The sequence below is a fragment of the Homo sapiens genome, chromosome 16 (assembly GCF_000001405.40).
Source record: "Homo sapiens chromosome 16, GRCh38.p14 Primary Assembly".
Lineage (NCBI taxonomy): Eukaryota > Metazoa > Chordata > Mammalia > Primates > Hominidae > Homo > Homo sapiens.
In genome coordinates, this window is record NC_000016.10 from 15151121 (window position 1) to 15169333 (window position 18213).

Here is an 18213-nt window from a genome sequence, read left to right on the forward strand (position 1 = left end):
TATTTTTAAAAGACATTGGCCGGGTGCGGTGGCTCACGCCTGTAATCCCAGCACTTTGGGAGGCCGAGGTGGGCAGATCACGAGGTCAGGAGATCGAGACCATCCTGGCCAACACGGTAAAACCCCGTCTCTACTAAAAATACAAAAATTAGCTGGGCACGGTGGTGCATGCCTGTAAACCCAGCTACCAGGTACTCGGGAGGCTGAGGCAGGAGAATCGCTTGCACCAGGGAGTCGGAGGTTGCGGCGAGCTGAGATCATGCCACTGCACTGCGGCCTGGAGACAAGAGCAAGACTCCGTCTCAAAAAAAAAAAAAAAAAAAAAAAAAAAAAGACATCAACTAATTGCAGTGTGTGGACCTTATTTGGCTCTTAATTCAAACTATTAAACCAAAAATGTGAACACACCAGGCCTTCGGTGGCATGAAGGAATTGTCTGTTGTGTTAGGTGGGTCTGCAGTATTGCGATGCCCTCCAAAATGCTTGCAGATAAAAGGGTGGCTGGAATTTGGTTCAAAACATGGGTCAGGGCTGGGCGTGGTGGCTCATGCCTGTAATCCCAGCACTTTGGGAGGCCGAGGCGGGCGGATCATCTGAGGTCAGGAGTTCAAGACCAGCCTGACCAATATGGAGAAACCCTGTCTCTACTAAAAATAGAAAATTAGCCAGGAATGGTGGTGCACGCCTGTAATCCCAGCTACTCGGGAGGCTGAGGCAGGAAAAGCGCTTGAACCCAGGAGGCGGAGGTTGCCATGAGCCGAGATCGTGCCGTTGCACTCCAGCCTTGGCAACAAGAGTGAACTCTGTCTCAAAAAAAAAAAAAAAAAAAAAAACACATGGGTCAGGAGGGGAAGGGTCGGGGCAGGGAGGGCAGGGCAGGCTCTGGGGTGGGGGGTCTGTGAGTCAGCCACAGCTCTGCCCACGTCTCCCCACGGAGCTTCGAGCCACGCAGAGCAGCACGTTTTGCAGTACGCCATCTTTTCCAAAAGCCACCACCTCTCGGCAGCATCATTAACCCAAGGCAGGCTGTGGCCTCAGAAGCCCCGGCTGTCCTCCACCTGGAACTGGACACAGCTGTCCCTGCTGAGCTTCAGCAGCCAGGGAGCCACAAGTGGAGAGGCACCTGCGTGAGCTCCCCAGGAAGGCTACTGGTGACACCCAGACAGCAACGCTCCTGGACCCTTAAACACCTGCCAGCAGCTGTGATCTGTGTCCTTCACCTCTCCCAGCTTGACCCCTCTTCCCTGGGGAAAACCCAGCCGTCTCCCCGAGGAGGAGTTTGCAGGGTAGACAGCAAAATGGCTGGGCTGCCCCACAGCACAGAGGGTGGCCTGGGGGGCCAGCCAGGGCCTTCACATCCTTCCTAGGGCCCTAGTTTCCCATGGGTCCCCTCACCCCACCTTCCAGAACTCTCCCAGCGGCGGCCCCAGGTGTGTACAGAACAGCACCCACCTGCCCACGAGGTCACCCTGTGCCCTGTTGCACACTTGAGGGGCCTGGCATTCGGAATCTTGCCAGCTCAGGCTGGGACAGGCCACCAACCCCCAGGGTCCCCCTCCTCCAAACCCCAGGACCAGAGCCTAAGAGGACAACACAAGGCAGGGGCGGGGGCTCCGCTGCTGTGCCAAGGGCCTGGAGAACACGGGCCTTGCTCTCCGCTCAGCAGCCACCAGCGCCCTTCTCTCCCGGACAGCTCCCGAGGGGCTGCTCTCATGGACACCATCAGGTGCTGGGAAGCAGGAACCACCAGGACCTGGACAGAGTCCCCAGTGACCGGCCTGGCAGACAGAGGAGCCCTCAGCTACAGCATCACAAACAACGGGTGGGGTAGGTCTGATGCAATTCTGTGGGTGCTGTTGCCAGGCAGGAGGAGGCCATCTCCACAGAGACAGCCGCGAGACACACGCGTCCGCAGTCAGGGAGCGCAGGAGCAATGTGGCCCCGAGGGGCACGGGCTCCATTGGTCCAGGAGAACCCATTCTTCTCCCACCCTCGAGACCACCCAGCAAAGCCCCAAGGACACACGGCTCCCCTAAGGAAGGGTGGCCACAGGCGGGAGTGACCCAGAAACGTTACAAAACCAAATGCCAGAACCCACCCAATGTTTAGCAAGCCTGGGGATGTGCCACGTCCCCCAGGGATCCAGCACGCACCCAAGGAGACACTGTCCCGGCGAGGAGCCTGGAGCCTGGGAAATACAAGGCATCAGACTGGTCCCAAGACTCTCCCCAGCGCTGGGGACAACTGTCTGCTTATCTTAGTCCCCTGCGCCCTTTTCAATCCAACCCTGGGTCCTGGGCACCTCATAGTTCCAAATCCCTGCTATGCACATCCCGGCTGTGATGCCTGGGACAGGTCCTGTCCTGGCTGTGATGCCTGGGACAGGTCGTGTCACCTCTCCAAACCTGTTTCCTCATCTGTGAAATGCAAATCTCCACGGTCCCTATGCCTCGGATGGTCAGAGTCAGGATTCCGCATGACGACCCCCAACAGGAGCCTGGCACAGACCTGGCTCTGGGCAGCGTCTCCATAAAGGCCACCTGTTGTTTTTATCTCCCGAAAGCGAACATGACAAGGCTTTAACCCCCCACGGCAATCCGCCCTCACCCCTGTTCTCAGGATAGCCTTGGAACCCAATAGCAGAGCGCCTGAGGCCCTTCATGACCCCAGCCCACCCGCGAGCCCACCTCCCACCCTGCCCCTACCCCTCACACCTCCCGTGGCCAGCCTCCAGCCTCATGGTCTTTGCTCACACCGTTCACCCCCCTTCTTCTGGACCCACCTCATCGCCCCTTCCTAAGCATCAGCCCAATTCTTGCACATCCATCAAATCCTTGTCCAGACACCTCCTGGAACTCTTCCCTGCAGCCCCCTACAACCATCCCCACCTCTCCGGGTACCCCGCAGCCCCAGGCCGCATCCCAATTCCTCTCCAATTAGCGACTGTTTGTCCTCCCAGCTGAGCGGGCCTCCGGGCCCCGCCCCCGCTGGCGTCTGCACAGCCCCCGGGTGGGACGTCTGTCTCCAGACCCGGGGTTTTTCGGCTCCCCCGGGCCGTGCCAACCGCGGCTCCAGGCGTTCCTTATTTAGCAGGGCCGCTGTGCCCGCGCCGGAGCCTCGCCCTGGGAGCGTCCTGGCCCGCGTCCTGCTTCCCGTCCCGGGCCAGGGAACGCGCCCACACCCGCCCGTCCCGCGGCCTCTCCCGGGTGCCGCTGGGCCCGCTACTCACAGCGCTGTGGCGTCCGCGGGGATGCGCAGCGCGGGACCGAGCGTCCGCAGCCCGCGGCCCGAGCAGTTGACGCGGCAGGCGGCGCCGGGCGCTAGGCCGCAGAGGCAGGGGGGCTCGCAAGGCCCGCAGCCGCGCCCGGGGCCCCCCGCCAGCGCCCCGAGCCACAGGCCCAGGCCCAGGGCCAGCGCCAGGCGGGCGGGCGCGGCGGGCGGCATCGTTAGGGCAGCGCGCGCATGGCCCCGCCGTCCCCAGGCCCGCCCGCGCGCGGAGGCCGCGGCTCAGGCGGGGCCGGCAGACGGCATGGCGGGCGCGGGGCTGGATGGGGCTGCGGCCGCGACCTGCTGCTGAGCGACGCCCGCTCGAGGCTCGGGGCCAGGCCGCTCCGGGAGCTTGGCCGCCCGCTCGGACGCTGGCGCTGCAGTGCGAGCCCCGCCGCGGCTCCTCCTCCTCCCCGCGCCGCGCGGGGCGGACGGGGCGCGGTGGGGGCGGGGCGGGTGCAGGCTCCGCCCCCTTCGCCACAGCGCGACCAGGCCAGCGATGAGGGACTGGCATCCGGAGGCTTCACCCTCCGCTCCACAGGGTCGGCAGCAGAGCGGGGCCTCCGGAAGCTCCGCCCCACGCGTTCCCGGGGCGCATGCGACGTGGGGCGGAGCGTCTGGAAGCTCCGCCCGTCGCACTGGAGAGTCGGCCGAGGCGCACGAGGTATTTTTCACGCTCCGCCCCACTGCAGGCTAAAGTGCGTGGGCGGGAAGCGGTGGGCAGGGTGCCATCTGGCTCCGCCCTTCTCCTGTGGTGTGGGCCAGGCGGCGGGTTCCTCCTCCTGCAGCAGCCACAGGCTCCACCCTGATCCTTCTCCCGCGGCATGGATCCTTCTCCCGCGGCGTGGATCCTTCTCCCGCAATCTCCGTGCGCGTCCCCAGTCAGTACCCGCAGCCTCCCGACGCACCCGCTGGCTCCAAGCCTCCCTACCCCAGGTTTCCTGGCTAAGAGAGAGACAGAAGGAGAGAGGGGGAAGAGAGAGAACAGGCAATGGGAGGTTGATGGTGAGAGCTTATTGAAAGACAAGAGGGAGGAAACCCACATCCTCCATTCCCCATCCATTCATTTATTGCCTTATTTATTCCATTGAATCTTCACAGCTCTAGAAAAAGTGTGCTACAATTATTCCCTTTATTAAATGAGGTCACTGAGGCACAGTTTAAGAAATTTGCCAGCAGGGCACAGTGGGTCACTCCGGTAATCCCAGAACTTTGAGAGGGGGAGGAAGGTGGATCCCTTGAGCCCAGGAGTTGGAGACCAGCCTGGCCAACATGGCGAGACCCCGTTTCTACAAAAATTAGCCAAAATTAGCCAAACTGGCTCACACTTGTAGTCCCAGGTACTCGAGAGGCTGAGGCCGGAGGAGCGTGTGAGCCCAGGAGGCAGTGGCTGCGCTGAGCCGTGATTGTGCCACTGCACTCCAGCCTGGGCAACAGAGTAAGACCCTGTCTCGAAAAAAAAAAAATGGAAAAAAGAAAAAAAGAACTGGCTGGGAGTGGTGGCTCATGCCTGTAATCCCAGCACTTTGGGAGGCCGAGGTGGGTGGATCACCTGAGGTCAGGAGTTTGAGACCAACCTGACCAACAAGGTGAAATCCCATTTCTACTAAAAATACAAAAATTAGCCAGGCGTGGTGGCAGGTGCCTGTAGTCCCAGCTACTAGGGAGGCTGAGACAGGAGAATAGCTTGAACCTGGGAGGCAGAGGTTGCAGTGAGCCGAGATTGCACCACTGCACTCCAGACTGGGCAATACAGTGAGACTCCGTCTCAAAAACAAAAAAAATCCTACCACATGTGCTCCACCAAGCTCTGTCTCCAAGGTGGCCTTGGAAGCCACATGGGGAAGGTGGCAGAGACTCTAGGAGCCTGAGCAGAGACCCAGATGATTATGAAAAATGCAGACCTACCCATCCTTATTCACCTGGGACCACCGTGAACTATATCATAAGAAATAAACCCCTATTGTACATACATGCACCATTCCAGTTGGGTCTATTTGTTACAGCAGTTTAGCCAACCCTAATCCACATATACAGTGTCAACAGTGGCTGAGATGACATGTTGCACAGACATGAGAGTCAGAAAGACCTGAGTTCAAGTCCCAGTGATGACATTTACTATCTGTGTGACCTTGAAAAGCTGCCTAACTACTCTCAGACCGTTTCCTCATCAGTTTGTTTTGAGAATCAAATGAGAAAATTACTAAAAAGCCCTTAGCACTGCATCTAAGATGGGGAAGAGACAGTCAATGAATTCAAGTTTCCTGAAGCCCAGTTGCATCCCTGCCCTGTCCTGGGCTCTGAGAGACAGTTGCCGAAGCTAGTGTTAAAGTGAACTAAATATGGCCTGAGTGGGACTTCGTACTTCTATAGTTGAGTCCTTGTGGACAAATTGCAACCTAGCTTAATAGGTAGACAAGATTGAAAACCTAACTTAGGAGTATGCGTCTGTAACAATAGCTGAGTCTTGGCCAATCCCAGAGGCCGTAGTTCAACCGCTCATACGCTGCTGAGTGTTCAAACTGTACTCAAATAAGGCAAACGCCAACTTGTAACAATCCAGCCATTCTGTACTTCACTTCTGATTTCTGTACATCATTTCCCTTCTTTTGTCCATAAATCTTCTTCCACCACGTGGCTGCGCTGGAGTCTCTATGAATCTGCTGTGATTCTGGGGTCTGCCCAATTCGCAAATCATTCATTGCTCAATTAAACTACTTTAAATTTAATTCAGCTGAGATTTTCTTTTATCACTAATTTGAGCTGGTTTTCTAATGTTTGCAAATGGGAGGGCTGACTAATATAACACTGCTCCAAATATTAACGTCTTTCTCCCAACCCATCACCCAGGCAGAAGTGGTCCAGCCTGGGGAACCCTAGGAGGAGGCTAGCTCTCCTCTAGGAAGGCTTAGGATGCAGCCAGTGGGCAGTAACTGGCTCACTGTCCCCTGCAACTGAAATCAGAACTGGTTCCAGAAACCAAGTTGACCCCCAACCAGTCTTTCCCAAAATATGGCTCTATGCCCATCTCTGGTCAGGCTGGGCTGTTTTCCTGGACAGAGAAGTCTCAGACAAGCAGGCAGTGGTTAGTGGGCTGTGCCCAGGCTGAGAACATTTCCCAGAGCAGATGGCATCTCTGGCAGTCCCTTAAAGCCAGCAGAGGCCAAGTCATGTCCAAGAGGCCAAAAGACCCAATATGGTGGAGACAGTCTACAGTCCCCATGAATAAGGGATGCCGATGCCTTCCCTATGTACCAGGTAGTCACTGCCTGAGGGGCCCAGAGCAGCAGGAGGGCAGAGCCAGCCTGGGCAGGGGCACTGGGCCGGAAGTGGGGCTCACATCCTCAGCGCGCACACACACTCTCACACACACACACACACACACACACACGAATGCACGCATGCACACACAAATGCACGCACGCACAGGTGCATTCAAACATCACATACACGTGTACATTCCTTGCAAAGTCAACTTCTGCTGATAGCACAACAAACAATGGGGCCACAGTGTGGCATGGAGGAAACCCTGGAGTCTGATCTCATTTTTTTTTTTTTTTGCATCTGTCAGGAGATAAAGATATTTGATAAAAATCCTTGAGTCACATCCCCACCAGGTCCCTGCCTACCTGTAGACCCCATCAAGCCAGCTCCATGGCCCCTCAGATACCGCCTCACTGGGTCCCCAGGGATTGACCTCAGTCCTGGAAATGCAGAAATATCTGTATCTGTCACAGCTGAGACTGGCGGCCTTCCGCCGGCTTTCCTGGAGGCAGAGGTGGAGACAGGGACTTGGGTGGATGTGGTTTTTGTTTTTGTTTTGAAAGGGGCTTTCAGGAGAAGGGAGGTGAGGACTACAGGATGCAGAAGGGGACAGAGCAGAGTGAGAATGTGGTCCCTTAAAGTCCCGCCTTGACCTATCCCACGAGCAGCAGAGAGCACGCCACAGGATCGTCCCCACCGTGGGGCAGGGACCAGCCATTCACGTTGCTGTATCAGTTAGTCACTGGGCCATTACTGGGCATGGCATCCCATCCCAGGCAACGTGGCTCCCATCTGAGGGTGATTCTCTAGAGAAGGACAGCTGTGAGCTCTCAGCAGGTGAGGCTCCAAAAGCAGCTATGCCAGTCTAGACCTCAGGGGAAGGGGGAATTCATCTCTAGGCAGGGATGATTTTCATAACATTGAACTCTTGACATGCAGGAGCACCGACCAATCAGAACAGACACGGTGACCAAACAGGCACAGCCACACCAGTGGATACCAGCGGAATGTCCACGCTGCCTCTGCGAAGGGACAGTCCCATGAGCCAAGCCCTAGACCAGCTGTTCTGGGAGCACTGCATCATTGCACTGAATTCTCACAACCGCCCCATAATGCTGGGACCATCCCCATTTTCCTGCCCAACAGCCTCCGTCTCATAGACACTAGGCGGCTCTCCCAGGGTCACACGGTCCAGTCAATAACGGGCAGAACTCGCACTCCGATCTGTCTGGCTCCAAAGCTGCTAAAAATTTTCTACTTGGCCTCACTGGCTTGACAAAGATTAAAAAAGAAGGCAAGTCCTTCTTTCCAAGAGATGCTGAGGTCCCTCGGCGACGCTAGGTCATGATTTTATCATGTTCAGAGGGCAATGAAAGGGACAGAAAACAAGCGATGTGTGATCTCCTGTCATGTCAAGAGACGCTGATTTCAAAGAAACGTACGTTTCGCAGAATCAATACGCTGTGGGGCCTCAGAAAGCTGAGGCAGACACACGGCCCCGACCCGTGCACGTGGGAGCCCTGTTACAAGAGACGGCAGAAATTAAACTGAATCACCTGGAGCAAGTACATTGTAAATGTTCAATATTAATGACCCACCTCGGCCCCAAAGAAGAGAGCGTTGGGCTTTGTCCAGCTGTGTGCTCTGTTGTTAAAAGACCACCTTGTGGCCAGGCACGGTGGCTCGCACCTGTAATCCCAGCGCTTTGGGAGGCCAAAGCAGGTGGATCACCTGCGGTCAGGAGTTCGAGACCAGCCTGGCCAACATAGTGAAACCCCGTTGCTACTAAAAATACAAAAATTTGCTGGATGTGGTGGCTGGCGCCTGTAATCCTAGCTACTCGGGAGGTTGAGGCAGGAGAATCGCTTGAACCTGGGAGGCGGAGGTTGCAGTGAGCCAAGATCACGCCATTGCACTCCAGCCTGGGCGACAAGAGTGAAACTCCGTCTCAAAAACAAACAAACAAACAAACAACAACAGAAAACAATTTGTGCCTTAATGGGCATTCCTTTCCCTTCTTGCTAAGGGATGAGATGATGGCAGAACTTGTGGCCACTGTCCTGGAGGTTGACAAGCTTTTTCTGTAAAGTGCTAGATAATAAATATTTTGTGGGCCACACGATCTCTGGTGCAACTACACAACGCTGCCATTGTCATGCAAATGTAGCCATAGATGATGATAAATGAATGGGTGTGACTGTGTTCCAATAAAACTTTATTTATAAAACAGACAGCAGGCCAGAGTTGGGCAATGGGCAGTAGTTTGCCCCACACTCCCCGCCCATCCGTCCTATTCCTTGGCTTTTTTGGGTACATCAAGGAGTGCAATCTGGATGCTGGGCTATTTTATGGCCACTGGGCATAACCTTAACCTGGGCCTTTTGTCTGTTAACCTGGGTCAGTGGCTACGGTGAAGGTCGGGCAACCAAGGTTTAGATGGCTCAGTACACATTCACGCCCACAAACCAAACCAGGAAAAAGATGTGCTAAGTTGAGCATATGACACTGTTGGTACTCAAATGGTTTGTTTTTTTTTTTAAATAAATGTTTAAGTAAATTTTTTATTTTAGAACAGTTTTAGAAAAATGGTGAAAGCAGTACAGAGAGTTTCCATGTACCCCATAGCTTGATGCATTATGAACTAAAGTCCATACTTTTTTTGGGGGGGTGGGGACAGGGTCTTGCTCGTCACCTAGGCTGGAGTGTGGTGGTGTGATCATAGTTCATGGCAGCCTCAACCCTCGACCTCCCCTGGCTCAAGTGATCCTCCATCTCAGCCTCCCAAGTAGCTGGAAATACAGGTGCCTGCCACCATCCCCAGAGAATTTGTTTTTGTTTGTTTGTTTGTTTGTTGTTTGTTTGTTGAGACAGGGTCTCACTCTCATTGCCCATGCTGGTATACAGTGGCACAATCACGGGTCACTTGCAGCCTTGACTTCCCGGACTCAAGTGATCCTCCCATCTCAGCCTCCCGAGTAGCTAGGACTACAGGTGCACACCACAAGCCTGGCTAATTTTTTGTATTTTTTGTAGAGATGGGGTTTCGCCATGTCGCCCAGGCTGGTCTTGAACTCCTGGGCTCAACCCATCCGCCGGCCTCGGCCCCACAAAGTGCTAGGGTTACAGGCGCGAGCCACCGTGCCTGGCCACCTGAAGTCCATAGTTGATTCTGATTGCCTTAGTTTTTGCTTAATGTCCTTTTTCTGTTCCAGGATACCACATGGAGCATTTTGAGGAGTGCTGGTCAGGTATTTTGTAGAATGTTCCTCAACTGGGATTTGGCAGATGCTTTTCTCATCCTTAGTCTTGGCTTGTGTGTGTTTTGAGGAGAAGGACCACAGAGCTTAAGAATCATTCTCAGCACTCTGTATCAGGCACGCATTCTCTCAAGATGACTTGCCGCTATTGATGTTGACTTTGATCACCTGGCTGAGGTAGTGTCTGTCCGTGTTCTCCACTGTAAAGTTACTCTCTCCTCTCTTTTCACACTGTACTCTTTGGAAGAGAGTCACTATGCACAGCCCACACTTAGGATGTGGGAAGTCCGCTCCACCTCCTTGACGATGGAATAGCTATATAAATTACCTGGGGCCGGGCACGGCGGCTCACACCTGTCATCCCAGCACTTGAATGGGAGGCCGAGGAGGGTGATCGCTTGAGGTCAGGAGTTTGAGACCAACCTGGTCAACATGGTGAAACCCCGCCTCTACTAAAAATACAAAAAATTAGCCGAGTGTGGCAGCGCATGCCTGTGATCCCAGCTACTCGGGAGGCTGAGGCACAAGAATCGCTTGAACCTGGGAGGTGGAGGTTGCAGTAAGCCAAGATTACATCACTGCACTCCAACCTGGGCAACAGAGCAAGACCCTGTGTAAAAAAAAAAATTAAATAAAAATAAATAAATAAATAATCTGGAATTCTTCTGCCTGGGAGATTTGTCTCTTCTCTCTTATCTGATCATTTATAGCAGTATGGAATCATGGTATTTATTCTTTGAATTCTAATCTGTTACGTATTTATGACAGTATCAGTAAAAGCCTCCCTTGAAATTTACCAATGGCATGAACATTTCAGATGAGTCTGCCATCTTTGGTGCTCCTGGGACACGAGAGAGACCTGTCTTGCTTGCTGATCACAAAGGTGGCTTTTTCTGTGGCCAAAGCTAAGGCTGTAGGGTCTGGTAAGAAGAAAAGATGGTCATGTTCCTCGTCAAGTTTCCAGTTGGCTACTGGAGAGATCAGTCAAAGAGTACAACAATCAATCATTCGTTCATTCAAAACTTAAGTGCCTCCTATATGCCAGGTCCTGTGCTATGGAAGCAGGATTTTGATTAGACCTTTTAAAATGGGAAGCAACAAGAAAAGGGAGAAAGTCTTATCTTTGATTTCAGCCTAACCAAGGGAGGCATCACTGTTTCCTTCTTCTTTTTTCTTTTTCAGAACGACGTCCTATATTACTCCCTGACAGGGGTGAGGAGTGTTTCCTACAGTTCACAGGAAAGATTATGCATCCATGATTCCAGTCCCTAGGCTTGGAAGAGAGGTCTGCATAATTGAGATACAGCTTGGTATGTTCTCCAGTGATACTGAGAAAAGAGTGAGGAGAGTCAAAAGGAAAAAATAATAATAGCAGCAGTTGTAAAACCTAACACATTAAACACTTACTATGTGCCGAGCACTGATCTCAGTGCTGAATAAGAATAAACAAACAAACAAGTAACTGAGTTCTCTTACTAGAAAATAATTGTAAAGTAACGTACAAGTTTGATATTTTCTACACATGGAGTTTTAAATATGAAGCAGATATGAAGGTATAGTAAATAGATCAAATTATTTAAAGCAACATGTTTAAACTTTCAAATAAAACTTAAACAGAATCAGTAGTGTTCAATCAGTTCTAAGTTATTAATACTAAGTTACTCAGTCACTCCATTAAGATTCAACAAAATGGTTTTGTTAATCAGTGGTACCAAAAATTAAATTTTGGTTTTAACCTTAGTCCTTGTTGTTAGCTCTCCTGGAATTTTTCTGAAATTTCATGAAAAGAATAAAAGAATGATTTCAGAAAAAATAAAAAATAAAAATAAACAAACAGAGCCCTTTCATTTTCTCCTGGAGGAAGTAGCAAAAACAGCAGCCCTATGGAGAGAGAATTTCAGAACGGTATCAATGGCCTCCAAAATATCCCTGCCATTTGACTATATTCTTTGTTTTCAGAGAATCCTTTGGAACTAGCACCAAAGCTTCATGCAAAAAGCTGTGCAGCACTGGTTACAATGACCTAAAACCTGGAAGCAAACTGTGTTCCAATAGTAGGGGCTGGCTTAAATAATCTCTCGTACATACATATAAAAGAAGAATGAGGACACTCTCTACTGACATAGAACCATTTCCAAGATTAACCGTTAAGTGAATAATGCAAGGTACAGTTTTGAAATACACATTAACTATAGTCACCATAGTGTGCAATAGATCACTAAAACTTATTCCTTCTGTACCCTTTGGCCAACATCTTTCTTTCCCCATCTACCACATCCTCACCCTCTGATCACCACCACTGCTAAAAGTAGATTTTAAATGTTCTCACCACAAAGAAATGTTAAGTATGTGAGGGGATGAGTATGTTAATTGACCTGATTTAATTATTCCACAATGTATGCACATATCATAACATCCCATTGTACCCCATAAATATATGTACTTATTTGCCGATTGAAAATGTTTTTAAATATAAGATGCAGAAGAATGTGTGCTATCTTTTAAATTTTATGGCATATGGATGTATTAACTTTTTAAAAATTTAAAAGCAATATGTCAAACTATTTATAGAGTAGAATCCAATGATCTATGTGGGAATAAGAAAGTGTGGGAAAGAATTTTTGGGAAATGTTCACTAGTTTTGTTTGGGTAGAAGATCACTGGGTAATTCTTTCCTCCCATTTTTCTCTATTTCTAAATTTAGATGTGTGGTACAATGAAATACTTTTATCATGAAAAAAAGACATTTTAAAATGAAAGAAATCCTGGATCCAGGCTAGGGGTTTGCTTAGATATTTAAAATCCTAGAACGCATATAAAAAGGGACTCGTGATCACAAAAGGACATCAGAGAATGACAAAAATGTCAAAGATATGGTCAGGAAGGCATAAACCCTACACTAATTTGCCAAAACCCAAAAAGCCAATGGGCTCTCAAAATCAAGCCTTAAAGCAACTTTCAGAGGTTTGCTGTTTTAAGTGTTTGGTTAGGACTTTGCTGCAATTAACAAGAACCTCAAATCAAACTGGGTTAAGCAAAAGAAGGAATTTATTGGCTTAAATAATCAAAAAGTTCAGGGGAAAGAAAAGACTGTCTTTAGAATAGCTTGGTCCTGTTCACTCATATTTTTTCTTTTCTTTTTTTTTTTCTTAGAGATGGGGTCTTACTCTGTCACCCAGACTGGGGTCCAGAGGCATGATCATAGCTCACTGCAGCCTTGAACCCTGGGCTGCAGCAATCTTTTTACCCCAGCCTTCCAAGTAGCTGGGACTACAGACATGTGCTACCATGCCCAGCTAATTTTTTTTTTTTTTTTTTTTTTGGTCTACAGACAGGGTCTCACCATATCGCCCAGGCTGGTCTTGAACTCCTAGCCTCAAGCAATACTCCCATGTCAGCCTCCCAAAGTGTTGTGATAAGAGGCATGAGCCAATGGGCCTAGACTCACTTACATCTTGACTTTTTTCCTCTTGACTCAGCTCTCTACCTGGGGCACCATATTGGGGCATTCTAAATATCAGGCCCTAGGTAGTGGCTCCTAGAAGGCCATGTTCACTGTAGCTTTTTTTTTTTAAGCAGTTCTAGAAGAAAAGAGCCAAAGGTGCCTCTTCCCCAGCAGAGGCAACAGTATGCATTGCATACCAACTGAGTCACCTGCTCATTTCTGAAACAATCCCTAGAGACCTGAGAATGCAATGCCCTGAGTGGCGGGGTGGAACCAACACCATCAGAAGCGCACTATTCTAGAGGAAAAGCAGGTACCAGGAAAACAGACTGAGCATTCAGCAGCAAAACAGCAGGCAGCAGAGAAAATTGCAAATTCATGTGTGCCCATCTCTTCAAGTAAAATGAATAAATAAGCAAAATGAAAAAATATATATGTATATCATTAAGAAGAACATGAAATCTGAAATAGATGGACAGCAAGTAAGAGAACATTGCTTTAAATGAATTCAAATTTCTAGGCCACATGCACAAGTCTCAGAACCCATGTTCATATCCATGGAGCTACCTCCAAAGACCTGAACTGTGATCCCTTTCAGAGAAACCAAACCGGAGAGAGGCCGCTGGGGTCTCTCTTTTCACAAAGGGGATGGGTTGGAAGTTGACATCCGAGAACCAGATACAGGCATTGACTTCTGAGGAAACTTTTTTATTAATCAGTTTTATAATTGACAAATAAAAATTGTGTATATTGTATTTATTGTGTGCAACATATTTTGAAATATATATACATTTTAAAATGCCAAATCAAGCTAATTAACATGCATGACCTCACACATTACTCTCTTAGCAAATTTCAAGAATACATTGTTGTTAACTATAGTCACCATGTTGAACCACAGATCTCTTGAACTGATTATCTGAGGAAATTACTGAACAAATTCTAAAATAGCAGATTTATGAAGGCTTAGAGAAGATTGATCAATAAAACCTACTGTAAACTTACCAAGATCGTGTGGTACCAAAACACACTCCACAGGATTACGAGATTGGGAGCTCTAGGGAAGCCCGATAAAATCCAATTTTAAAATAGCACAAAAATTAACTAACTATTGGGTACTAAGCTTAGTATCTGGATGATGGGATCAGCAGAGCCCCAAACCTCAACATCAGAGAATACACCTAGGTAACAAATCTGCACATATACCCCCCGAATCTAAAAATATTTTTAAGGAAAAAAATATTTAAACAATCTGTTGGCCAGGTGAGATGGCTCATGCCTATAATCTCAGCACTTCAGAAGGCTGAGGTGGGAAGATCGCTGGAGACCAGGAATTCAATACCAGCCTGGGCAACATAGTGAGACTTTGTCTCTATGAAAAATACAAAAATTAGCCAGATACAGTGGTGTACACCTGTAGTCCCAGCTACTCAGGAGGCTGAAGCAGGAGGATCGTTTCAGCCCAGGAGGTCACGGCTACAGTGAGCCATGATCCCACCACTGCACTCCAGCCTGAGTGAGACCTTGTCACTTAAAGAAGAAGAAAAAAAAGCATATGCTATTTTCAGAAACGCATTTGAAAATTTGAAAACATCCATGTTTGTGTTCTGAGGATAAAGACAGGTAGAAGAAACATGGGTGTGAATTAGTAGCTGATTGTCTATCCATACCAACTAAATGCCATCATCATCATCATCACCATAGGTATTTGAAGGTTTTTACTACCTTACTTAGTCCTCTAAGGCTGAAGTGCTAGCAGGTAGATATTTATTAGTCCCCTTTTAGAGATTAAAGCACTGATCTCAAGAGGTGAAATAACTTGTCCAGCTAGCAAATAATGGAGCTGGCATCCTGACCCAGATCTGTCCAGCTGCAAAAATCTTTCCTCTCATGAGTTGTTAGCATTATTCCAAACAAAACACTGCCCTAAAAGTGTGAAAATGTCCTCAGTTCACCCCTTCTCTGCAGTGGGACCCTGACATTTAAAGGCACACCAAGAGGAGACAGTGCTCCCTGCAGGGCTGGAGGGTAATATCTGAGGTCTGGGAGGGACAAAATTCACAACCAAGGGTTACTCCCTCCCACCTGTGCCTGACATTTTTCTTTCTAAAAAATCTGCTCATTTCTGTTCTTCTTTCCTCTTCATCTTCCCCCTCTCCCTTTTCAATATTTTATTTCTTTATCTTATTTGGTGTTTTCATTGCCAAAGTAATTCATGCTTACTATAAAAGCATCAAGCAATAGACAAGTGTATAATAAAAAGCAAGAGGTCCAACCCCCAGGAAACTGCTGGGGACAGTTTGGTACCTATCCTTCCACAGTGTTTACTGTGCGCACATCAGTAAATCAGACTTAATACAATGTTACAAGTTATATAGAAGTGCTGAAATATACACCTAAGAAGCCAGCAGCCTTGGCTATAGTCTCTGGTGCATGCATGTGGCATGATTGTGCATGGTTCTCAGAAACCTTGTTGCTGCTCCTATCATTCCTTCCTCTACCAGTCCACAAATGTCTAACTGCCCACCATGTGCGAGGTGCCATGCTCCGTGCTCAGAACACAGCTGTGAACCAGGTGGACATGGTGCCCTTCCTAGAAACAAAATCTAGGCTGCAAGAATGGTGGCTTTAACTCACTTCAAGAAATGCATTCACCAAGCACCTTCTCTGTGCCAGCTTTTGCAGGGGATGAGGCGATGTCACAGATATATCAGACACAGCACTGCTCTGAAATGCTCATGGAATAATAGAGGAGACAGGCTAGAAAATGAGGTCCATTATTTGTGTTTTAAAATTAGGCCAGGCACACTGTTCACAATAGCAAAGACTTGGAACCAACCCAATACCCATCAATGACAGACTGGATAAAGAAAATGTGGCACATATACACCACAGAATACTATGTAGCCATAAAAAAGGATTAGTTCATGTCCTTTGCAGGGACATGGATGAAGCTGGAAACCATCATTCTCAGCAAACTATCACAAGGACAGAAAACTAGACATTGCATGTTTTCACTCATAAGTGGGAATTGAACAATAAGAACACATGGACACAGGGAGGGGAACATCACATACTGGGGCCTGTCAGGGCGTGGGGGGCTAGGGGAGGGATAGCATTATGAGAAATATCTAATGTAGATGATGGGTTGATGGGTGCAGCAAACCACCATGGCACGTGTACACCTATGTTACAAACCTGCACATTCTGCACATGTACACCAGAACTTAAAGTATAATTTTAAAAATAAATAAATAAGGCCGGGCGTGGTGGCTCAAGCCTTTAATCCCAGCACTTTGGGAGGCTGAGGTGGGCGGATCAAGACCAGCCTGACCAACATGGAGAAATCCCATCTCTACTAAAAATACAAAAAATTAGCCGGATGTGGTGGCACATGCCTGTAATCCCAGCTACTCGGGAGGCTGAGGCAGGAGAATTTCTTGAACTCAGGAGGCGGAGGTTGTGATGAGTTGAGATGACACCATTGCACTCCAGCCTGGGCAACAAAAGCAAAACTCTGCCTCAAAAAAAAAAAATTAAATTAAAAAAACTAATAAAATAAAATAAATAAATAAATAATAAAATAAAATCAGGCCAGCTGCAGTGGAACACTCACGTCTTTAATCCCTTTGCACTGTAACCCCTAAGTACTTTGGTAAGCCAAGGCAGGAGGACCACATGAGGTCAGAAGTTCAAGACCAGCCTCGGCAACATAGAAGTTTAATTTAAAAAAAAAATTAAATTTAAAAATAGCCAGGTACAGTGGTGCACACCTGTAGCCCCAGCTACTCAGGGCTGAGGCAGGAGGATCACTTGAGCCCAGGAGTTTGAGGCTGCAGTGACCTATGATTGGAACCCGGGAGTTTGAGGCTGCAGTGACTGATTATCATGCCACTGCACTCCAACCTGGGTGACACAGCGAGATCCTGTCTCTAAGTAATAATGATGATGATAAATTAAAAAATAATAATTTTTATTATGTTGTTGTTACTAACAAAATTTATTGAGCCCTTCCTAGATGTCATACACTATACTAAGTACTTTACAAGCATTAAGTAATTTCATCCTTTTAAGGACCGTTTGAGGTAACTGTGATGATTATTCCCACCTCATAGATGCAGACACTAAAGCTCAAAGAAGATGAGTGCCTTGCCTGAGGTCTCACGGCTGGTGAATGACCGGGCTGTGACTCAAGCCAAGAGCTGTTTGTCTCCAAGACTCTTAAAGACTCTTTTTTAAAACCAGCATGCTATTCCATTTCATGGTATTCTCTTTTTCTCCCTCATTAGCAGATTCCTACAGAACCCACATGACTCTACTGTTCCTGCCCCAATTTATTTTTGCCTGAGTCTCCCCACTTTGGGCAAAAGCCTCGCTTGAACTATATCGATAGCTACAATGACTGAAAATTGTGTCACGTATCACATAGAATCTCTGTTCCCAAGGTACCCAGAGAGACTGAAATAGGTCCGTTAACAGTCGTGTGTTTTACATTCCACTTGGAGGGTTAACATTCAGGGTCACCCTTCTTCTGAGCCTTAAAAACCAGGGGTATCAAAGTAATGAGGGAGTGCGAGCATTCCATGGAGTTTGGATTAATGATCTGTGAGCCTCTGTTCAGCCCTGAATGCGTGTCATTTTTAGAGTTCAGCCTGGCAAGAAAACTTAACAAGAATCCTGGTCAAAAGAAGTCTCGGTCATTTAATGACAAAGGGTAACTGGACAACCTACCACCAGCAATTTATTTTTAGACCAAGTTAAGTCATACTTCTATGCATGACCTCATTCCCATGACTCTCCTGCCCTGCCCCCAGTTACTGTCCTCAGCTCTATGATGCAAATATTCTGCAGACGTGTCTCTGCCCTGCAAGATTCCCTAGACAGCTTTACCTTGACTACAGATATGTCAATGTCCGCCACCATAGAAAGGTCTTTCTGCAGACCGAACTGAACTGATGCTAGCTTGTTCCATCAGGACCC

The 18213-nt window shown here is 48.6% G+C and overlaps 1 protein-coding gene, 1 non-coding gene and 1 pseudogene across 2 annotated transcripts in view; 1 reads left to right on the forward strand and 2 right to left on the reverse strand.

The window, feature by feature from the left end:
• Positions 1-2098, forward strand: part of PDXDC1 (pyridoxal dependent decarboxylase domain containing 1) — a 178484-nt gene extending 176386 nt beyond the window's left edge. The window contains exon 18 of the mRNA XM_024450194.2: positions 1694-2098. Coding sequence (XP_024305962.1) covers positions 1694-1773 — 80 coding nt within the window. The 3' untranslated portion in view covers positions 1774-2098. The remainder of the gene's footprint in view (positions 1-1693) is intronic.
• Positions 1-3753, reverse strand: part of PKD1P6 (polycystin 1, transient receptor potential channel interacting pseudogene 6) — a 29735-nt pseudogene extending 25982 nt beyond the window's left edge.
• On the reverse strand, positions 3730-3882 carry MIR3180-4 (microRNA 3180-4). The gene has a single exon (NR_037466.1). It is a non-coding gene; the product is annotated as a microRNA 3180-4 (primary transcript).
• Positions 3883-18213: the final 14331 nt, after the last annotated feature.